The sequence below is a fragment of the Homo sapiens genome, chromosome 16 (genome assembly GCF_000001405.40).
Source record: "Homo sapiens chromosome 16, GRCh38.p14 Primary Assembly".
Lineage (NCBI taxonomy): Eukaryota > Metazoa > Chordata > Mammalia > Primates > Hominidae > Homo > Homo sapiens.
In genome coordinates, this window is record NC_000016.10 from 31,383,154 (window position 1) to 31,406,717 (window position 23,564).

The 23,564-nt window shown below is 48.9% G+C and overlaps 1 protein-coding gene across 18 annotated transcripts in view; it reads left to right on the forward strand.

Annotated features, from left to right (window-relative positions):
• ITGAD (integrin subunit alpha D) overlaps nt 10,182-23,564 on the forward strand; it is a 33,171-nt gene continuing 19,788 nt past the window's right edge. For all 18 annotated transcript variants that reach the window (XR_950791.3, XM_011545835.4, XM_017023215.3 and 15 more), the window contains exons 1-7: nt 10,182-10,238; nt 11,083-11,188; nt 14,206-14,309; nt 14,443-14,513; nt 14,642-14,756; nt 18,962-19,092; nt 20,347-20,492. Coding sequence is in view for 17 of the 18 variants with exons in the window: in XM_011545835.4 (XP_011544137.1) it covers nt 10,208-10,238; nt 11,083-11,188; nt 14,206-14,309; nt 14,443-14,513; nt 14,642-14,756; nt 18,962-19,092; nt 20,347-20,492 (704 nt within the window). In the remaining variant the exon portion in view is untranslated. The remainder of the gene's footprint in view (nt 10,239-11,082; nt 11,189-14,205; nt 14,310-14,442; nt 14,514-14,641; nt 14,757-18,961; nt 19,093-20,346; nt 20,493-23,564) is intronic.

Below are 23,564 nucleotides of genomic sequence, written 5' to 3' on the forward strand. Positions count from 1 at the left end.
CTCTCAGGGCTGGTGCCGATGGTAAGCTGGTGGAGCTGTCGGGTGGAGGGGGCATAGAATAGAGAAGGGACAACCTCCAGTGGCTACTTTTCCACCTGGAAAGGTCTCTGGAGTGACCAATACTCACAAGCGTTTCCTACAAGTCCTAGGATGTGTTGAAGGGCACACTGTCTGCATATAGTGAGTGATTGAAGAACATGTTGGGGTCCCACATTGAGAGCTGCTGCCCACAATAAGGTCATTCTTGCTATTATGCCACCATCCTGGCATAAAGTTCATCATGGTGCTTGGCACTGAGCTGGGGGCCTCACAGGACAAGCCATTCCTGACCTCGGAGTGACGCCACTGCAGCTATCACCAGCAAGGGACCCGGGCCGTGTGGATGTTTCAATTAGAAAAACAGAAGGGAGGCAGTTGAGTGATTTGAAGGGAAGATGGAAAGTGGCCCTTTACCTCCAGCCAAAAATGTCTGTCCTATACATCAGCAGAGGCTCCAAAATCCCTGTGGATTTTGAAGCTTTTGAGTCCCCAGGATGACTAATTATTATGCAGTTTCCTCAGAAAGGGAATCAGAAGATAAGGCTTTGTAAGAATTCAGCCCTAATGGCTGGGCACAGTGGCTCATGCCTGTAATCCCAGCACTTTGGGAGGCCGAGGCAGGAGGATTGTTTGTGCTCAGAAATTTGAGACCACCCTGGGTAATATATTGAAACCTTGTGTCTACAAAAAAATTTAAAAATTACCCAGGCATGGTGGCATGTGCTTGTAGTCCCAGCTACTTGGTAGGCTGAAGCAGGAGGATCACTTGAGCCTGGGAGGTTGAGGATACAGTGAGCTGTGATTTGGACCACCACACTCCAGCCTGGGCAACAGAGAAAGATCATGTCTCAGAAAAAAAAAAAAAAATTGACCCTAGAGTGGTGTTTCTCAAAATGTGTTCCACGAACCACTGGTGGTCAATGATGGTCTTCTAAGTGGAAGGTTTTAGAGAAAAAGAGCAAGAAACCCATACATCTCAAACATTTGAAACTAGTGATTTGCACAGAAATAGTGTTGTGGCCTTAATAATTGTGTGGCACACGGACTCCAGGGACTACAGTGGGTTCTTGTCTAAATTCAGGCAACAAGTTGTTATTTTCTATTTTATTTTATTATTATTATTTTTTGAGATAGTCTCACTTTGTCTCCCGGGCTGGAGTGTAGTGGCACGATCTCGGCTCAACGCAACCTCTGTCTCCTGGGTTCAAGTGATGCCTCTGCCTCAGCCTCCCAAGTAGCTGGGAGTACAGGGGCGTACCACCATGCCCATTTTTATTTATTTATTTTTGAGACAGAGTCTCGCTCTGTCACCCAGGCTGGAGTGCAGTGGCATGATCTTGGCTCACTGCAACCTCCGCCTCCCAGGTTCAAGTTCAAGCGATTCTCCTGCCTCAGCCTCTGGAGTAGCTGGGATTACAGGCAGGCACCACCATTTCCAGCTAATTTTTGTATTTTTAGTATAGATGGGGTTTCACCATGTTGACTAGGCTGGTCTCGAACTCCTGACCTCATGATCCGCCCTCCTCGGCCTCCGAAAGTGCTGGGATTAGAGGTATGAGCCACTGTACTTGGCCGACAAGGTGTTATTTTCTGATATTCTTCCTTTGTGTGTTATTGTGTACATTTATTACATTTGCATTTTCAGGGTTGGCTATTGTGTTGCATTAGATCCCCGAATCACAAAATGGATCAATGGCTCAAAAGCATGGAAGTTGTGATTAAAAACTAATCTAATTGCTACAATTTACAATAATGTCATCAAAGTCAATATTGACTTTTAAATATTGAGCCCAGTGCACGTATAGTATAGACATGCATACCGGAATAAGTGATTGTGAGCCAAAACCCGAAAATATCTAGAAGGTATTATACTCCCTGACAGGTAGGTTGTATTGGTTCTGACATGTATTTGTCCCTAGTGTGCTGCCCATTCTGAAACTTTATCAAACAGTCGCATGAACCTCTGAAAGCTTTTGTGTTATTTTCTTATTTATTTATTTATTGAGATGGAGTCTTGCTCTGTCGCCCAGGCTGGAGTGCAGTGGCATCATCTTGGCTCACTGCAACCTTTGCCTCCTGGGTTCAAGTGATTCTCCTGCCTCAGCCTCTTGAGTAGCTGGGATTACAGGCGCGCACCACCACGCCCAGCTAATTTTTGTATTTTTAGTATAGACGGGGGTTTCACCATGTTGGTCAGGCTGGTCTCGAACCCCTGACCTCATGATCTGCCTGCCTCAGGTAAAGCAATAGAGATTTCTTAGAACAACTGCTACATGTAGCTTTCCTATTCAAAAGTGATTAGTGTTGTCACCGAATACAGAGGAGACAGCAAAACCACAGTGACATAAATCAAAGGTGCTTTTTAAAGTAGCAAAAGTAGGTACAAGTCACATAATTTCCAAGAAGCTTGTAGAAATGGCAGTAGAGTTCATACCTGTATTGAAAGGTTGCTTTTGGCTGCAAATAATAGAAAAAAACAAAAGCATGTAAGAGCAGACAGAAGACCTTTACTCTGCAAGAGGTTCAGGTGCAGGTTAGTGTTTAATGCAGAGTCTCAGCATTGACAGATTCTTTCTGATCTTCCAATTGATCGTCCTTGCGGGGGCGGTTTAGTTCTTTCCCACTGACTAGGATTGGGTCAAATTCCATCCCCTTGGTTGCATGCAGTGCTGAGAAGGTGAGCATGTGCTTTTCACAGGCTTAATAAAAAGAGGTAGCTCCAGCCAGGTGCAGTGACTCATGCCTATAATCTCAGCACTTTGGGAGGCAGAGGTGGGTAGGTCACCTGAGGTCAGGAGATTGAGACCAGCCTGACCAACATGGCAAAACTCTGTCTCTACCGAAAATACAAAAATTAGCTGGGCATGGTGGCAGGTGCCTGTAATCCCAGCTACTTGGGAGGCTGAGGCAGGAGAATCGCTTGAACCTGAGAGGTGGAAGTTACAGTGAGCTGAGGTCATGCCACTGCACTCCAGCCTGGGGGACAGAGTAGAACTCTGTCTCAACAAAAAAAAAAAAAAAAAGAGAAAAAAAAAGGAGGGTAGCTCCACCAGCCAGGAAGGTGGCAGCGCTGGTGGCTGTTGGATAGGCTACCTACAGTGTCTGGCAAATACTATGCTTGAAGACTATGCTGTGAGCAAGATTCCTTTGTGAAGGAACAGCTTGGACATTGTGTATGTCAGAGGTATACAGCAGAATAGCAGTGACTAACGCTTGTGTGGGAGAGCAAGCATGTCACCTCATACTTGGAATAAGTCACTGCCATACAAAGTCTGAATCAGCTTTCATCTTTGTGCAACACATGTATGTGGGAGCTTTTCAGCTGCTGAAACCTCTAGTGACAGAAAAGGAGGTTTTGTTGTTCATTTGTAATTAATGTTAATCCTATGAGTGGTGGGAGAGATAGTGAGGTAGGAGATCAGCAGGACCTGTTTTCTGGTCACAACCCAGCTAATCAGAGCATGATCTGGTCAAGATGGGATGCACTAAAAAAACAGCCCAAACCAGCAGATGGCCAGGAAAGCAAACTCTCATTACCCTCGCCACTTATTAGCATAAAGACACTCCCACCGGTGCCATGACAGTTTACAAATGCCATGGAAACACACCATAGCAACGGTCAGCAAGTTACCTCATATGGTTCTGGAAACTCCCCACACCTTTTCCAGATAGTTCTGAATAACCCACCCCTTAATTTGCATGTAATTAAAAGTCGGTATAAGTACAGTTAGCCAGCAGCCCACTGGCTGCTACTGTGGGCTCACTGCCTATGGGTTGTCCTGCTCTGCAAGGAACAGCTACCTTGCTGCCACTGCTGCTTCAATAAACCTGCTTTCTTCCACCACAGGCTCGCTCTTCAGTTCTTTCCTGAGCAAAGTTAAGAACCCTCCCGGGCTAAGCCCCAATTTTGGAGCTTGCCTGCCCTGCATCAGTAGAATGGGCTAACTACTTATGGTGCACTCAGGCTAAAGAGGCTGATGCTTGCAGGGCAGTATTCACAGAGCACACGGTAGTTCACGGGATGCCTCTCACCCTTGACTCAGTGCTTAAGAAAGGAGGGAAAATGGTGAACATGATCAAATCATGGCCATTGCCTATTCATCTTTTCAGTGTTGTATGGAGGAATAGGCAAGTAGGAGATTGCTTTTCACATTAATGTCAAAGAGAAAGATAGTTACTTGGAACTTAAAAAAATTAATTGTGATAAAATATACATAACATAAAATTTACCATCTTAACCATTTTTAAGTATAGCCAATCTCAAGAGCTCTTTCTATCTTGTAAAACTGAAACCCTATACCCATTAAACAACTCCCAATTCTCCCCTTTCCCTAACTCCTGGCAACCACAATTCTTTCTGTCTCTATGAATTTGACTGCTTTGGCATGTCATAGAAATAGACTCATACAGCATTTGTCTTTTTGCGACTGGCATATTTTGCTTAGCATAATGTCCTCAAGGTTCACCCATGTGGTAGCATGTGTCAGAATTCCTCTCCTTTTGAAGGCTGAATAATATTCCATTGTGTGTATATACCACGTTTTGTTTATCCATTTGCCCATCAATGGGCATTTGGGTTGCTTTTTTTGCCTCTCATGAATGATGAATATGGGCGCACAAATATCTCTTCAAGACCATGCTTTCAATTCTCTTGGGTATACACCCAGAAGTGGAATTGCTGAATCATATGGTAATTTTTTTTTTTTTTTGAGACAGAATCTTGCTCTGTTGCCCAGGCTGGAGTGCAGTGGCACAATCAGAGCTCACTGCAGCCTTGGTCTTCTGGGCTCAAGCGATCCTCTTGCTTCAGCCTTCCGAGCTTCTGGGACTAAAGGTGTGTGCCATCATGCCTGGCTAATGTTTTAAAAACGTTGCCAGGCATGGTGGCTCGTGCTTGTAATCCTAGCACTTTGGGAAGCTGAGGCAGGTGGATCCCCTGAGGTCAGGAGTTTGAGACCAGCCTTGCCAACATGGTGAAATCCCGCCTGTACTAAAAATACAAAAATTAGCTGGGTGTGGTGGCATGTGCCTGTAGTTCCAGCTACAGGCAGGAGAATTGCTGGAACCTGGGTGGCAGAGGCTGCAGTGAGCCGAGATTGCACCACTGCACTCCAGCCTGAGTGACAGAGTGAGACTCTGTCTCAAAAAAAAAAAAAATTTTAGAGATGGTGTCTCACTGTGTTGCCCAGGCTGGTCTTGAACTCCTGCCCTAAAGTGATCCTCCTGCTTCCGCCTCCCAAAGTGCTGGGATTACAGGCATTAGCCACCATGCCTGGCCTAGCTAAATTGTCTTTAATGTCGCATGTCTGCAAAAAACACATCTATAAAGCTAGAAAAGTTGAGCATCCAACTTTTTATGATTTAACTCTCATGACCTGGCAATTTTTCTAGCAAGGAGCCTGGGCTGGTGGTTTTAGGAGAACTGAGTGAAAAAAAGAAATACATTAACTAGATTGGATGCAAAGTGCCTGCTGGTCATGGGTGTTTTCTGCTGGCCCCTGTTCATCTGTGCCTGTTAGCCCACCCATGGGTGAGTGGGGCAAAGTGGCCAAACTGATTCTTAAGAGAGGCATACATGCAGAATCCAAGTTAGTCATGATTTCGTTTCTAGTCTGAGTGAATGTGTGTCCAGAATATTTTATAAACTTTATCAGCTCAGAGGGGAAAACCTGTCTCCATACTACGTGGTTTATACAAAGCTGTCAGGAATTCAGCATGATGAAGAAATGCACAAAACAAGTGTGAACAGATAAGTAAAAGGATCTACTGAAAATCTTCAGGGTAGTATATTGTGTGACAGGACCAAGAATTTGAAGTCAACATCTGTATTTGTGCCCTCTGGACAAAGGTATTATCCCTGATGATATAAAAATTAATTTTGGGCTGGGTGTGGTGGCTCATGCCTGTAATCCCAGCACTTTGGGAGGCTGAGGAGGGTGAATCGACTGACGTCAGGAGTTGGAGGCCAGCCTGTATCGACTAATAATACAAAAAAATTAGCTGGACATGGTGGCGTGCACCTGTAATCCCAGCTACTCAGGAGGCTGAGGTGGGAGAATTGCTTGAACTCGGGAGGCCGAGGTTGCAGTGAGTCGCACCACTGCACTCTAGCCTGGGCGACAGAGTGAGACTCCGTCTCAAAAAAAACAAAATTAATTTCGAGGCCAGGTGCAGTGGCTCCAGGTGCGGTGGTTCATACCTGTAATTCCAGTGCTTTAGGAGGCCAGAGGATTGCTTGAACCCAAGAGTTCGAGATCAACCTGGGCAACATAGTGAGACTCCATCTGTAGAAAACAAACAAACAAACAAACAACAACAACAAAAAAACCAGAGGTGGGAGGATCACTTGAGCCCAGGAGTCCGAGGCTGCAGTGAGCTATGGTCACGCCACTGCCCTCTAGCTTGGGCAACAGTGCCAGACTCTGTCTCTTAACAACAACAACAACAAAAATTAATTCTACTTTAACTGTCAGTTTCATGATATCCTTCTATTAAGAAAAACCTTTTCTATCTGATGAACTATTGGCTAGGTTTTCTTTCTCTCTGCTTTTGACTAATGCATTTAATTACTTTCATTTGCAAACTCTATCCTTCTCATCAACTTTGTATTTTAGATGTGTCTATTGACAGCCTGGCTTCCCTCAGCGATCATTATGATGATCAAAGTAGATGAATAGGTAAAATTCAATGCAAATATTCCAGGGCATCTAATCCATACCCCAAATGGAAAAGGGGAGAATTGGAAGCCAGCAATTTGAACACATTACTATGGATGTATTTTTCTCATGCGGGGGAAAAAGTGATTTGGAGAGAGAGAATTATGAATGCATGTGAAGAATAAAGCCAAATTTCCTGGGAGGAGGGGAAGACCAGGAGAAACAAAACCAAATCCTGGCTGTGGCCTCTAAGGCATGGGGACCTGGAGTTATGCTCTCCAGGCAGACACAGCTCATTCTGGAGAAAGGCTGCAAAAATATTCTCCTTCACATTGATTTGAAAACAATTATTAAATTCTTGTTTTCTTATTTATCTAAGTGTAACTTTTTAAAACTTACTGAGAGAAGACGGGCACGGTGGCTCACTGCTGTAATCCAGTACTTTGGGAAGTCAAGGCAGGTGGATCACCTATGGTCAGGAGTTCGAGACCAGCCTGGCCAATATGGCAAAACCCCGTCTCTACTAAAAATACAAAAATTAGTCAGGTGTGGTGGTGTGTGCCTGTAATCCCAGCTACTCGGGAGGCTCAGACAGGAGAATCACTTGAACCTGGGAGGCAGAGGTTGCAATGAGCTGAGATTGCACCACTGCACTCCAGCCTGGGCGACAGAGCAGGACTCCATCTCAAAATAAAAATTAATTGATTAATTAATTAAAAATTTACTGAGAGCTGGTGGTTCCTTTAAGGGTGGAGCCGCCATCAAGTCCCCAGAGGATGCCCTGAATTTGGGGGCATCACCTTCAGCTGCTGTGGACTCTGAGCCTTGGCAGCTCCAGCTCCAGGCCTGGGAGAAAGATGATTTCCTGGCAGCGTGCAGTGATTGTGAGCATTTGACTACCTTACTGCATTTTGCCCTTATCATTGCTCTCCAAACATGAGTGGAAAACAAAAAATTTTGCTGAGACAAGCGATAATACGAGTTAGGGAAAGTTGGAGAATTTTATAGTTGCTGATATCAGCAAATCGTGAGTTTCAAGCACTACTTACAGAAGGAAGTCCAAAATTAAAGGGGATATAGAAATGTGTAAAAGATGAGGTGTGGTGAAGATGGAGAAAATGAAGAGCTCTTTAAATTTCTGAATTATGAAGAATCACCAACAAATTATTTTGTGGTTCCAAATACAGGGAGAAGTTCACAGATCCACAGAACTGATGACAGGGTGCGGCCAGCCACAAACCTTTCAGCACAAGAGGGAGAAGGCTGCCGCTCCACTTTGCCTGGGCAGTCTTTGTAAGGCAGTAGATAAGTCAGCCTCGAAGTTAGCAATCACAGCCCTCGGCTCGGTTTCCTGCAAGGGCATCGTTAATGCATCACAATTAATTTCTTCTGTCCATTAAATGTCAGCTCTCAAGTAAATTGATGTAAAATTTTTGTATAGAAAACTATTTCATATTATTTGCACTTGATGTTTAATTACATTTTAAATGTTTTGTTTGTTTCATTTTGTTTTGTTTTTGAGACAGAGTCTTGCTCTGTTGCCCACGCTGGAATGCAGTGGTGTGATCTTGACTCACTGCAACCTCTGCCTCCTGGGTTTAAGCGATTCTCCTGCCTCAGCTTCCTGAGTAGCTGGGATTACAGGCGTGCACCACCATGCCTGGCTAATCTTTGTATTTTTAGTAGAGATGGGGTTTCACCATGTTGGCCAGGCTGGTCCCGAACTCCTGACCTCAAGCTATACACCTGCCTCAGCCTCCCAAAGTGCTGGAATTACAGACATAAGCCACTGTGCCCAGCCAAATGTTTTAAATAATTGTCACATATATATACAAAATAATTTATGTTATAGGTAGGGATCTTGTTATATTTTAACCTTCAAAGTATATTCCTAAGCTTTTTATTTATTTTTTATTTTTTATTTATTGAGACAGTCTTGCTCTGTCGCCCAGGCTGGAGTGCAGTGGCGCAATCTTGACTCACTGCAAACTCTACCTCCTGGGTTCAAGCGATTCTCCTGCCTCAGCCTCCTGAGTAGCTGGGATTACAGGTGCGCACCACCATGCCCAGCTAATTTTTGTATTTTTAGTAGAGACGGGGTTTCACCATATTGGCCAGAGCTGGTCTCAAACTCCTGACCTCAGGTGATCCATCCACCTCAGCCTCTCAAAGTGCTGGGATTATAGGTGTGAGCCACTGCGCCTGGCCTATTCCTAGCCTTTTATATATAGACCTTTTTCTTTTTCACATTTTAAAGGAACTTTTATGTTTAATCATGGAATATTTCAAACATACAGAAAAATCACAGAAAATAAATAACAACCACTCATTTATCTTCTCCCCAACCCCATGTAATAAATATTAAAATATTGTGTTAAATGCTAAATTTAACACATGCTAAAGGTTCCTGGCTGGATGTGGTGGCTCACGCCTGTAATCCCAGTACTTTGGGAGGAGGAGGTGGGAGGATTGCTTGAGTCCAGGAGCTCGAGACCAGCATGGGCAACATAGTGCGATCTCGTCTCTACAAAAAACAAAAAAATTAGCTGGGCATGGTGGTGTGCATCAGTAATCCCAGTGACTGGGAGGCTGAGGTGGGAGAATTGCTTGAGTCTGGGAATTTGAGGCTGCAGTGAGCCCTGATCATGCCACTGCATTCCAGCATGGGCGACATAGCAAAACTTGTCAAAAAAAAAAAAAGTTTCCTCTCTGCCCCACCATAGACAACCACTCTTCTGATTTCTATCTTCGTAGATGAATTTTGCCCATTCTCTTGTATATGAAAGGAACCAGACATTAGGCATTCTGGTGTCTGGTTTCTTTCACTTAAGATAAAATTGAGTTAACCTGTATTGTTGTACAGAACTGCAGTTTGTTCTTTGTTATTTATTGTAAAGACAGGGTCTGGCTATGTTGCCTAGGCTGGTCTCGAACTGTTGGCCTCAAGCAATCCACCTGCCAAGCTCTGGGACCACAGGCATGAGCCATGGCATCTGATCTGTAGTTTGATCTTATTTCTTGCTGAGTAGTAGCCCATGGCATGACTTTATTATTTTGGGTGTCCATTCTCCTCTGGAGGGGCTCTGCTTTTTGAAACCACACCCTGGCCTAGCTCCCCTTCTCCCTGCCTCTCTGCCGGCTCACATCCACATGCCAAGACCTCTGCAGCCATTCTGCTTCCTGTCCTTCCACTCCTGTGGGACCTCAGAGAGCTACGGGGCTCCCTGGGTACCAACTGGCTCCTGAGGCCTGGGGGAGGGTGGTCTTCTGGGAGAAGGAAGCCAGGTCCCTGCAGGTTGTGGAGGGGGACAGAATGAGGGTTTTTCCCCAGGGTGTTGTTGGCCCCTGCCCCCACTTCTGTTCCATAATTAACCACGCCCCTCCTACCCACTGTGCCCCTCTTCCTGCTGTGTGGAGGCCCTGAATCATTATTTTAACTACCCCCTGGGAGGGTGAGCACCTTCTGTGCTCTGTCCCCAACCTTCCACTTCCCCTCAACGCGCTGCTCAGGGATGACCTTCGGCACTGTGCTTCTTCTGAGTGGTAAGTGGGGCCAGGGTGCTGGGGAGAAGCTTGGAGGAGTTCTGAGGGGACTCCATCTGGGAGGGCAGGCTGGGGGCTGGTGGTCGGCTCCAACCACTCTTATGAGGAGCTGAGGCAGGGGAGTGCTTCATGTGCGAGTGGCCCGGAGTCAGTAGAGTGTGACCTGAATGAAGAGGGGCTCAGGGGCTGTGCTCAGGTGGCGACTAAGCTACCTCTCCAGCTGGCTATGTTGTCCCAGGCTTCCCTGCTCCCACTCATGGAGTCCCTGGTGTGGGTGACAGAGGTCTCCCCAGCCTCCCCCGGGAGTGGAAGGCCACAGAAGCCACCAGGGAGGGGGAAAGGTTGGACATCACCTCCCTGGGCCTGTTTCCCCCAAGTCCTGACTGCACGTAGGGAAGAGGCCCCCTGCTGAAAACTGCATCAGAGTCACATTCACGTGCCATCAAAAATCAGGCTTGGCTGGGTGCGGTGGCTCATGCTTATAATCCCAGCACTTTGGGAGGCCGAGATGGGCGTATCCCCTGAGGTCAGGAGTTTGTGACCAGCCTGGCCAACATGGTGAAACCCCATCTTTACCAAAAATATAAAAATTAGCCGGGCATGGTGGCGTGCACTTGTAATCCCAGCTACTTGGGAAGCTGAGGCAAGAGAATCGCTTGAACCCAGGAGACGGAAGTTGCAGTGAGCTGAGATCGTGCCGTTGCACTCCAGCCTCAGCAACAGAGCGAGACTCCATCTCAAAAAAAAAAAAAAAAAAAAGAAAAAAAAGAAAAAGAGGCTGGGAGGTCCTAGGGATTGGGGCTTCTTTAACTCCCAGCCTCCCCGCCCACCAAATATTCCTCAGTCCTGGCTTCTTATCATGGATTCAACCTGGATGTGGAGGAGCCTACGATCTTCCAGGAGGATGCAGGCGGCTTTGGGCAGAGCGTGGTGCAGTTCGGTGGATCTCGGTAGGCCCCACTCACCCTCCTTCCCCAACCTCCACTACATCAAGTCCTGTGGATGGGTACACGTGGGTTACCCCAGGGAGGTGTCCTGGAGGAAGGCCAGCAGGGGTGAGAAGTCTTCCCTTGGCTCCTTGGAGGCCCTGACATCAGCACCTATTATTCTCAATCCCAGGAAAGGCCACAAAACTCTAGACAAGACCCTACCTTACCTCGGGAGGGAAGCCTTGAACCTGCCTCCCAGGCAGGGCCCACTTCTTGGGGCCAGTATGGTCACACAGGGCCCACACTCATTAACTTTGGAGTTTAATGTTCTGCCCTTGACCTCTTGAAATTCCTGATTATTTTTATTTTTATTTTTACTCCAGCTCTGTTACCCAGGCTGGAGTGCAGTGGTGCAATCACAGCTTACTGCAGCCTCAAACTCTCGGGCACAAGTGATCCTCTCACCTCAGCCTCCTGAATAGCTGGGACCACAGGTGCATGCCATCATGCCTGTTTTTTGTTTTGTTTTGTTTTACTTTTTACAGAGATGGAGTCTTGCTATGTTGTCCAGACTGGCTGAACTCCTGGGCTCAAGCAATCCTCCTGCCTTGGCCTCCCAAAGTGCTGGGATTACAGGTGTGAGCCACCCTGTCTTGCCAATTCTTAAAAATTTTATCTGTGCATTTGTGTTTTGCAAGTAAAGAATGATGGCAGGGCTGGGCACCATGGCTCACGCCTATAATCCCAACGCTTTGGGAGGCTGAGGCGGGCAGATCATCTGAGGCCAGGAGTTTGAGACCAGTTTGGCCAACACAGCAAAACCCCATCTCTACTAAAAATGCAAAAAAAATTAGCCGGGCATGGTGGCAGGCATCTGTAATCCCAGCTACTTGGGAGGCTGAGGCAGGAGAATCGCTTGAACCTGGGAGGTGGAGGTTGCAGTGAGCCGAGATCGTGCCACTTTACTCCAGCCTAGGTGACAGAGTGAGACTCCGTCAAAAAAAAAAAGTCATGGGAGAAGGGAGATGCACTGGGGGTTTGGAGCCTTAGCTCAGCAGCAGCCCCACCTCCCACCGCCTCCTGAAGGGTGGTGAAGGGGTATCAGCTGCTGGCTCCCCCACCCATGTGGGAGCAATGACCGCTGCTACCTTCCGCCCCTGGCATGAGCTGGGTAAAGTCAGTTAGGGGCGCTCACTCTGGGAGTACCCCGAGGGAGTGGGACACTACATAGCAAATAAAAAACGTCAGGACAGGTTGAGGAAGAGAGCAGAAGAAAGGTAAGAGCCCCCCAACCCCAAGAGACCCCACAGTTTTATTTCAAATTGGGACCCACAAATTATGAACCTGCCCCCACTTCCAGGAGCTCACATTCTCCTGTCCCAGAGAGTTCAAGTCACAATGTGACACAGGTGTCACCAAGGTCTGGGGGGCGCAGGCAGGGAGAGAGCAGACCCAGGAGGGTTCCATGGAGGAAGTGGTGCTGGCAGTGAGCCCCAGTGGACAGGAAGGCTCAGTTGGTCACGAGGAGCTATAAGAGGTCACCGAGCTCCAACCGCGCACCCCTCTCCCTTCCTCATGTGACTGGCAGTCTGGGGGGATGGAAGCAAGCACCAGGCACCAGGCTTTTGTTTTTCTTTATTTGGAAATGTGGTCAACTGAGGTGCACAAATCTGAAAGACCCAATCTGATAAAGGATACACATGTGCGTGCCTGGGTGAGCCCCACCTAGGTCAGCTGCTCCAGTGTCAAATCCCACAGGCACAGGGCTGCCGTGGACCCCTTCTCATCACCCAACATCCCCAGAGAACCCCTGGTCAGACTTCTGTCACCATCAGTTTTTTGGGCCACATTTTAAAAAAAGAATACATTGGCTGAGTGCAGTGGCTCATGCCTATAATCCTAGAACTTTGGGAGGCTGAGGCGGGTGGATCACCTAAGGTCAAGAGTTCAAGACCAGCCTGACCAATATGGTGAAACCCTGTCTCTACTAAAAAATACAAAAATTAGCCTGGCGTGATGGCAGGTGCCTGTAATCCCAGCTAGCTGGGTGACTGAAATAGGAGATTTGCTTGAACCTGGGAGGTGGAGGTTGCAGTGAGCTGAGATCACGCCATTGCACTCCAACCTGGGTGACAGAGTGAAACTCTGTCTCAAAAAACATATGGGTTGATGGGTTACACTAAAGTTTTGCTCATCGTTTGTATCAGCAGGTTCCAAACTGCTACCTCTCTAGCCAATGCTCAGATTTTCTTCACAAAGCCTTAGGCATCCCCTGAATCATGATGCACAGGGATTGTAGCTTTCTGTAAAGGAGCGGCACCTAGAAGGAACCCTCACATGGCCATTTAATGAAGCCTTGCTTGGCGCATTAAAATACACCAGTATCTGTCTGCTTTTCTCACAGACAGGAGATTGTGGGTAGTGAGAAAACATTTCCAAAATTAAAAAACTTTCCCACTCAGGGAGTTTTGCAAATAAACCCTTGACTCTACATAACTATAGATATAGTTATGGATCCTAGTACACTGCTTTACATTGGCCAATTGAAATTGCTTATACAATATTTAAATTGGTCCAATGAATTACAGAATCAACTATTTGTTTTGAAAGCACATGTCTTCAGGAAATTGTTCCAATTAACTTGAGATGATCTTATTTCTTGGGTGGTTCAAAATAATGGCAACTCAGAAACGCAATGTGCTTACCCATGATTGGGAAATGCCATTTTGGTCTTTAAATAGGTTTTTTTTTTTTTTTTTTTTTTTTTTTTTGGTGAATGTTAAAAAGAAATTTCTAAACATAAATACACACATACGTACTTATGCACACTCAAAACCAAATAAACCCCAGCATGGCCCCTGGGCATCTGTGAGTTACACTTGGGCCCTGATTTCTGAATATTCTGCCAAGTGGCAAATGCCAGGAATTTCCCCCACAGAGTCTCGCTTCCCCATGGAGGGACACTTCCTCACCCCCAAGTGCCCGCTGCTCCCACCCCTCCTGTGGCTGCAGTGACATGGCCATGGTTGTGTCTCCAGACTCGTGGTGGGAGCACCCCTGGAGGTGGTGGCGGCCAACCAGACGGGACGGCTGTATGACTGCGCAGCTGCCACCGGCATGTGCCAGCCCATCCCGCTGCACAGTGAGTGACCACCTGGGAATTGGGCCCCTCAACCCTCCTGGACCCAACTGTGCCCCCGCTTAGCTTCCAGTCCAGACCTTCCCCGCAAATGAGTGTGTGCTGTGAGTGAGACCCCGCGTGTCTGCCCTTGCAGTCCGCCCTGAGGCCGTGAACATGTCCTTGGGCCTGACCCTGGCAGCCTCCACCAACGGCTCCCGGCTCCTGGTGAGTGAGTGTCTTGGGCCACGGGGGGGTGGGGTGGGGCGGGGGGTGTTGTTGGGGAGGAGGCTGGGGCTGGGAGTGAAGGAGGAGGGGCTGCTAGGGACTCCTGGCTCACAGGCTTCTGCCTCCAGGCCTGTGGCCCGACCCTGCACAGAGTCTGTGGGGAGAACTCATACTCAAAGGGTTCCTGCCTCCTGCTGGGCTCGCGCTGGGAGATCATCCAGACAGTCCCCGACGCCACGCCAGGTAGGTCCCTGGCAGGCCATGGTTCCCTGTGGAGCACATGCTGGCACTGAGGGTGAGCAGGCGTGAGGCCTGTGTCTGGGCCCCTGTGCCCTCCCTGGAGGGCCGAGTGTGGCTAGGAGAGAAGCCAGGAGAAGAGGGTGGCTCAGGCAGGAGCCCTGCTGCTCCAGGGTAGAAGTTCTTTGCAGGGTTTTTCTTTATATTTTTTTCTTTTTAAGACAGGGTCCCTGCCAGGCACAGTGGCTCAGGCCTGTAATTCCAGCATTTTAGGAGGCTGAGGTGGGCGGATCACCTGAGGTCAGGAGTTCGAGACCAGCCTGGCCAATGTGGTGAAACCCCTCTACTAAAAATACAAAACAAAACAAAACAAAATAGCAGGATGTGGTGGTGTGCGCCTGTAATCCCAGCCACTCGGGAGGCAGAGACAGAAGAATCGCTTGAACCCAGGAGGCGGAGGTTGCAGTGAGCTGAGATTGTGCCATTGCACTCCAGCCTGGGTGACAAGAGCAAAACTCCATCTCAAAAAAAAAAAAAAAACAAAAAACAGAGTTTCTGTCAGGCTGCATGCACCACCACACCCTGCTAATTTTTTTGAGACAGAGTCTTGCTCTGTCGCCCAGGCTGGAGTGCAGTGGTGCAATCATAGCTCACTGCAGCCTCGAACTCCTGGGCTCAAGTGATCCTCCTCCCTTAGCCTACTGAGTAGTTGGGACTGCAGGTACATGCATCACACCTGGCTAATTAAAAAAAATGTTTTTGTAGAGATGGGGGTCTTGCTATGTTACCCAGCCTGGTCTTGAACTCCTGGGCTCAAGTAATCCTCTGCCACAGCCTCTCAAAGTGTTGGGATGACAGGCATGAGTCCTTGTGCCTGGCCTGAGGGATGAAAGTTCTGATGGAGGCAGAGAGGAGCCCCACTGTGCGGGCTGTAGAGGGCACAGCATCTTCCAGTTGCCAACAGGTGCATGGCCACTTCTTGAGTTTCAGAGGAAGGACCTTAGTGTGGTAAAGAACGTGGTGAGGAAGATAAATCCATGAGGGAGGTGTTTCTTCTGGATGGTTCACTGCTGAGCTTCCAGGATTCCCCAAACTAACTTTCCTCTCGAAGAGGAGCAAATGACAGGGCTGCGGAAAATGCGATGTGCAATTTTGTCAGTGCCCATGTCTTCCACAGAGAACAGGGCCTGGGGACACCACCATGACATCTCTCTGAGGGTTGGTCTGCATCATGGTGGTTCCCAAGTTTGTTTTCCATGGGCACCAGGCTTCATTCCCTTGAAGCTTCATTCCCTCAAAGCCATTCAGTTTCCTCATTGGTAAAATAGAGCTCAATAATCAGGGGGTTATGAAGGTGAAAGGGATTGAGGTGCATAAAGCACTTGGAACCCTGCCTGGCACATAGTATGTGATAGCCCCTCTGACCCATCTTCCAGCTGGGGACTGCATGCTGGGACTGGGAGGAAGATACAGGCAAACTGTCTCATCTGCCGTGTGAGAGGGAATGCCAGGGGCCGCTCAGGGTGCTGACCGAGGGTGGGGCTTCAGACCAGAGAGGCCATGATGACAGGCATGCTGGGCCTTTAGACAAAGGTGGAGCAGCAGCAGAAACATTACCAGAGCAAATGGTGAGGGTGGAGTCTATGGAGGGGACCAAGGGAAGGGGGAAGGGACATCCAGGGTTCTTGGGGGGACCGTGCCCAGCCTGAGATGTCTGTGAAGCCAGGTTAGGGAGGTGGCACTTAAAAACAAGGGGTAAATGTCTTCTCACAGCCATCCGTGGAACTCATGAGGTGGGATGCCTGATGCAAATGGGACTGGAGCACAAAACTGGTGCAGGCAAGGGGGGTGTGGGTCCAAGTAGAAGGGACCAGGGTCCACTGAGGATCACCTGTGTGCCAAGCAGTGCTGAATACCTGGTATGAATCACCTTATTGCATCCTCACAACATCCTGGGTGGCGGGCAGGCCCATTCTCATTTTACAGATATGAAAACCAAGGTTCAGATAGATGAGTTCCATCGATAGCAAGAGGCAGAGCCCAGAGCTTGAGCCATCCTTGCCTGATTGGTGGGGTCCTTTTTCAAAAGGATAAGTCCAGGCTTCTGCTAGTGGGAGACCAGGGGATACAATAAAAAGACCAAGAAACAGAAGAGACATTGTGAGAGGATTTGCCACAGACCTGGCCTGAGAGAGGATGAGAGGGTGGTTTCTTGACGCAGCTGAAAAAACAGGCACCACTGCAAGATGTTGGCTGCCCAGATGTGGGCAAAAAACGGGGAGCTCCTGGGGGGATCTGCAGCCTGCCCCATGGATGTCAAGATTTGCTGGTGATTGAAGAAGCAGGAAGGAAGTGACCTTCTGTTTCTCCCCAGCACCCTTGAAGCACCAGTGGTTGAGCAAGTGGGGTAGGGGAGAGGAAAGAGGAAAAGGCATTTTTTTTTTCTGCAGTGGTGGGCAGGGGGCAGAAACCACAGCCCTGTGGTGTGGGCCTCACACCTTAGTGCTCTGGTGGCCTGATCTCCCAGTGCCCTGCGGGCAGCACAGGATGTGGCTGCTGGTGGAGGTACCAACTGGGCCCTGAACACAGGCCACACACCCCCCATGAGCCTGGGGACAGCATGAAAAGTCTTATTTGTTCATGTGCATATGATGTGCCCTCACGATTGCAGAGTGAACTCCACAAACTCTGAGGTCACTTGGGAATGTTCTTTTTTTTTGAGACGGAGTCTCACTCTGTCGCCCAGGCTGGAGTGCAGTGGCACAATCTTGGCTCACTGCAGCCTCCACCTCCCAGGTTCAAGTGATTCTCCTGCCTCAGCCCCCCAAATAGCTAGGATTACAGGCACCGCCACCATGCCGGGCTAATTTTTTTGTATTTTTAGTAGAGATGGGGTTTCACCATGTTGGCCAGGCTGGTTTTGAACTCCTGACCTCAAGTAATCCGCCCACCTCAGCGTCCCAAAGTGCTAGGATTACAGGCGTGAGCCACCACTCCCAACTGGGAATATTCTTGGGCACCGCACCCATGGGAGCATGAAGGGTGGATGCAATGCAATCATAACAGAGGCCCAAGGTCAGCACTGGGGTGCTTGCCTGTCATCCCAGTGCTTTGGGAGGCCGAGGTGAGTGGATCGTTAGAGCCCAGGAGGTTGAGACCAGCCTGGGCAACATGGCGAAACTCCGTCTCTACAAAAAGATACAAAAATTAGCCAGGCAAGGTGGTGCACACCTGTAGTCCCAGCTACTCAGGAGACTGAGGTGGGAGAATTGCCTGAGCCTGGGGAGGTCGAGGCTGCACTGACCTGTGATCACACCACCACACTCCAGCCTGGGTGACAGTGAGACTCTGCCTCAAAAAAACAAAAAATGAAAAAACCAGAGGCCTCAGCCAATGCCTGGGGGGCTCAGAGTGCAGCTGGCCCTTCAGACGCTGAACCAGTCATCGGTAAAGGTTTCCTCCAGGGGCAGGAGGTGTCCCAGTGGGCAACAGTTCCCCTCTGCCTAGCGTGATTCCTGGGAAGGGACTCAGCTCAGAGCCAACTCCACGTAGCTGGAAATAAGGACCTCTGACCGACTGGGGGTAGGGTGGGGTCTGGGGTGGATCCCTGCCCCACCCCCACAGCATCCCTACAGGCATATCCTACAGGCCTCGAAGGTGCCTGGCACGTGGTGAGAATGGTGCCAGCGGCTGACCCTGGCAGAGGGCCAGGACTTGTCTCCAGCACCCATGTGCGTGTTGCTTTATCCTTGCAGTGATCCCACGTGGTAGCCACTGATATTACCTTCATTTTACAGATAGGGACACTGAAGTCCAGAGAAGTTAAGTAATGTGCCTGAATTCACCAATTAGCACGTGGCTGAGCTGGGGTTTAGCCCAGGCACACTGGCTCCAGAACACGCGCCCTGAACCACTTTGCTAAACATTCGCCCTTGATGCTTGTGGCACCCCTAGCATCTGTGTTTAATGAATATTTGTTGATTAAATGGATGAGGAGCCCACCTGGGTCCTGTGTTGTCATCCCTCTCTTTCCAGGCCATGTGGGAGGAAGGGAGCAGGGGGCTGGGGTGGCAGACTGGGGCCTCCTCCAAGGAGGGGTCGGAAACTAGGTGGGGATGCCAAGAACAGCCCCCGGGCTCTGTTGAGCAGGAGCTGCAGGAGGGGGTTGGGCCCCCGCAGTGCATCTCCGATTCCTCCCCATTCCCCCACAGAGTGTCCACATCAAGAGATGGACATCGTCTTCCTGATTGACGGCTCTGGAAGCATTGACCAAAATGACTTTAACCAGATGAAGGGCTTTGTCCAAGCTGTCATGGGCCAGTTTGAGGGCACTGACACCCTGGTGAAGACTGGGCACCTGGGGCTGGGGTTTGGGGGACGGGGGAGGCTGGCCTCGGGGAGGCATCCCGGGAGGGGTGGGGGCAGGCCAGTGAGCCGTGTGTGATGGGGCTGGGGTGGAGAATGAAGCTATGGTCCCAGCACAGGCCCAACTTGAGCCCTGACCTAGGAGGCCCTCTTGGCATTTAATAATGTATCCAAAAGCTACAGGAAATACAATGTTTCTGCTGTTTAAAAACATTGAAAGTGTTTAAAAAATAATTTTGCTATGGAATTTGACTGACATATTTTCTATGTAACTAATGATTTCTTTTTATTATTTTATTTTCCCATAACTAGTGCCTATGTATGTGCAAAAAAACCCCACTGTTTTGTTTTTTAAACAGGGTCTTGTTCTGTCATCCAGGCTGCAGTGTGGGGGTGCAATCATAGCTCACTGCAGACTTGATCTCCCAGGCTCAAGTGATCCTCTTTCCTCAGCCTCCTGAGTAGATGGGACTACAGGTGCATGCCACCATGCCTGGCTAATTTTTAAAAATTTTTATTGTAGAGATGGGGTCTTGTTATATTGCCCAACCTGGTCTCCAACTCCTGGCTCAAACAACCCTCCCACCTTGGCCTCTCAAAGTGCTGGGATTACAGGCATGAGTCACTACGCCCAGCCACAAATTCTTGAGAAGGGAGGAAATACACAAATTGATTTAATGTGTGATAAAATTTTTAAAAAGCTAAGGGTAGCAAATATTGTGGTTGGCAAAGTTATTTTTAATAAACTGTGAAGGAAATATCATTTGGTTTAGATTTTCCAGTTTATATTTTGTATTTTTGGGCCAATGAATTTTCTTCTCTGGGTTTCAGTATATTATTTGTAGGGCTTCAAAACACATGGGAAATGGTTTGTAAATCCAAAATAATTCCAAAATAAAGTTTATTAAAACTGAAAACAATATGGCTTGGTGTGGTGGCTCACACCTGTAATCCCAGCACTTTGGGAGGCTGAGGTGGGAGTATTGCTTGAGGCCAAGAGTTCGAGACCAGCCTGGGCAACATAGTGAGACCTTGTCTCTACCAAAAACAAAACAAAACAAAAAACAAAGCCAGGCATGTGACGTGTGCCTGTAGTTCCAGCTACTTGGAGGCTGAGGCAGGAGGATCACTTGAGGCCAGGAGTTTGAGAGACCCTGTCTCTACAAAAAATTAAAATAAAAACAATAGTAACAGGCACTGAGCCCTGGGCCCTCCCCACTGGCCTTTGCAGTTTGCACTGATGCAGTACTCAAACCTCCTGAAGATCCACTTCACCTTCACCCAATTCCGGACCAGCCCGAGCCAGCAGAGCCTGGTGGATCCCATCGTCCAACTGAAAGGCCTGACGTTCACGGCCACGGGCATCCTGACAGTGGTGTAAGCAACCCCGACCCCAGCCTGGCGATGTGACTGCCACCCCCACTTCCTAACCCTGGGTCAGCACAGCTCTTCTCAGAGGCTGAGGGAGGCTCCAGGGAAAGGGGCTACCAAGGGGCATGTCGGGGCTGCAGGGAGAACCTCCCCCCGGGGTGCTCCTGGTTGCCTCGCTGCCAGTCTCCCTGATATAGGACTAGGCTCCTCTGCAGCTATGCCTCCCCTTTGCCTGGTTCTGCAGAGCCTGGACCCCAGGACCCCTCCCCACCCCACAGCAGCCAGAGGCCCGGGCTTTGGCTCAGACACATCAGGCTCCCATCCTGGCTCCCCGTGAGCTACTCTGGGTGTAACCCTGGGGTGATGGGCTCTAAGTCTCAGTAACTCTCAGATGAAGATAAGCTCACAGCTTAGGATTGAGATCATGTGTGTGGGGTGCTCAGCCCGGGGCACGTAGGAGGTGTCGGATAAATGCCTGAGGTTTTATCAGAGAATGGAGTAGTCAGGGACTCAGGAATTGTCACCCAAGGTCGTCCTGGTGCCTTTCTCCCCACTCACCTCCTCTCCCGCATCCCTCACCCCTGCGCACCCCCTGTGCTACCCAGGCACTCACCGTGGGCCTGCCCCGTGCACATGCAGTCTATTCCTAAAACGATGTAGGAGGTGGGACCCCCGAGAAAGGCATGTGGTTCTTGTAGGAAGGAGCTGGGCTGACGGTCGGGGATCCTTGGCTTCCTGCACACACCCCTGGGAGCAGCCCTGGGGTGGTGCTAGAATTTGGCTTAAACAAGAGATGCTCCCACCAAACGCACCCTCTTTACTTCTGGGAGGCTCTTCTGCCTTGAACGGTGGCCCCTTGTGACTCAGCAACCCAGAGGAAGGCCTCCGTCTGTCCTGTAAGTTTAAAGTCACACGGGAGTGTCCCATTCTGGAGTCTCCACCTCACCCCTCAAAGTTCTTCCAGTGGTGGGGCCTGGGGAAAAAAATGAATGAGGCAGGGGTGACCGAGTGGTTCTCACCAACTCCAGTCCTGCTCTCATGCCCAGACTGCAGGAAATTTCCCAGCAGCCTTTGCTCCCCAGAGCCAAGCCCATCTCAGGGCTGGACTCAGCCAAGGATTGGACCTCCCTGCTGCCGGTCCTTCCCTTCCCTCCCTCCCTTCCTTTCTCCCTCCCTCCCTCTTTCCCTCCTTCCTTTCTTCCCTTCCTCTCTTCCTCCCTTTCTCCCTTCCCTCCCTTCCCTCCCTCACTTCATTTCTTCTCTCACTCTGTTTTGTATTTTAGACAGAGTCTTGCTCTGTTGCTCAGGCTGGAGTGCAATGGCACAATCTTGGCTTACTGCCACCTCCATCTTCTGGGTTCCTGGATTCTCCTGCCTCAGTTTCCCAAGTAGCTGGGATTACAAGTGCACACCACCATGCCCGGCTGATTTTTGTATTCCAAGTTCAAGCAATTCTCCTGCCTCAACCTCTGAGTAGCTGGGACTACAGGCCCGCACCACCACACCTGGCTAATGTTTGTATTTTTAGTAGAGATGGGGTTTCACCATGTTGGCCAGGCTGGTCTCGAACTCCTGACCTCAAGTGATCTGCCTGCCTCAGCCTCCCAAATGCTGGGATTACAGGCGTGAGCCACCATGCCCAGCCTCTTCCTTCTCTTTCTTTTCTTCCCTTTCTTTCTTGTCTTCTTTTTTTAAAAAGAAGTTTTATTACAAAAAAACAAAAACAAAGCAAAACCCAAACGGCAATAATGGTAAGGAAACTTTTTTTAAAAGAAGTATTATATTACCCACAGTCCCTCTAGTCAACCGCCCTACAGTATTTTAGTAACATCAAGGGATACTTACAAGTGAATCAATAAATCTCAGCTGCATAGCACAATGCCACTTCCATACTCATCTTTATTCAGGCTTATTTTGTATGGTCACATTCAGGGCAGAAGCTATTTTCATCCTGTCTGGGTTTTTTTCCCCCTCATCTAGGTCCACAATTTTTTGTTTTCCTTTTTTTTTTTTTTTTTTTTTGAGACAGGTCTCACTCTGTCTCCCAGGCTGGGGTGCGGTGGCACGATCACGGCTCACTGCAGCCTCCAGCTCCTGGGCTCAACAATCCTCCTGACTCAGCCTCCCGAGTTGGGATCACAGGTGCATGCCACCACATCTGGCTAATTTTAAAAAACATTTTTTGTAGATATGGGGTCTTGCTTTATTGCCCAGGCTGGTCTTGAACTCCGGGCCTCGAGAGAGCCTCCTGCCTCGGCCTCCCATACTGCTTTCCTTTGAAATGGCTGTGTCTACTAACAGGCTAGGTCATGACTGGCTAAACCCTTTCCCCAGTGTTGGATATTTGGGTTATTTCCAATATTGTATTTGACACCTGTGTGTATTTGCTCTGAGTTTATCTGAGTTTATAGAGTTACATGAGCAGGTAGTTACTTTTTTTTTTCTTTTTTTTTGAGACGGAGTCTTGCTCTGTCGCCCAGGCTGGAGTGCAACGGCATGATCTCGGCTCACTGCAACCTCCATCTCCCAGGTTCAAACAATTCTCCTGCCTCAGCCTCCTGAGTAGCTGGGATTACAGGCACGCGCCACCATACCTGGCTAATTTTTGTATTTTTAGTAGAGATGGGGTTTCACCATGTTGGTCAGGCTGGTCGCAAACTCCTGACCTCGTGATCCTCCCACTTTGGCTTCCCAAAGTGCTGGGATTACAGGTGTGGGCCACTGTGCCCGGCCGATAGTTACATTTTTAATTGTTTGTTACAGCTGTTATCTAATTAGTAGTCACCGTAGGCCATTCACTGTAAAAGCTTGACCTTGTTTAATCTTCAGGATAATCTGACACTAATTGTTTCAGTTATCTACTGTTGCCTAACAAACCATCCCCAAATTAAGTGGGTTAAACAATCCAGCACTAAGCTGGTGTCTGGTGCCTGTGGGGGATATGCTGGAAGGCAGGCTTGGTGGGGACGGCTGAGCCTCTTATTTCAGGTGGCCTTCCTCCATGGGTGCCTCCAATAAGGCAGCTGGACTTCTCTCATCGTGGCTCAGGGCTTCCAAAAGTGCAAAAGCCGAAGAAAC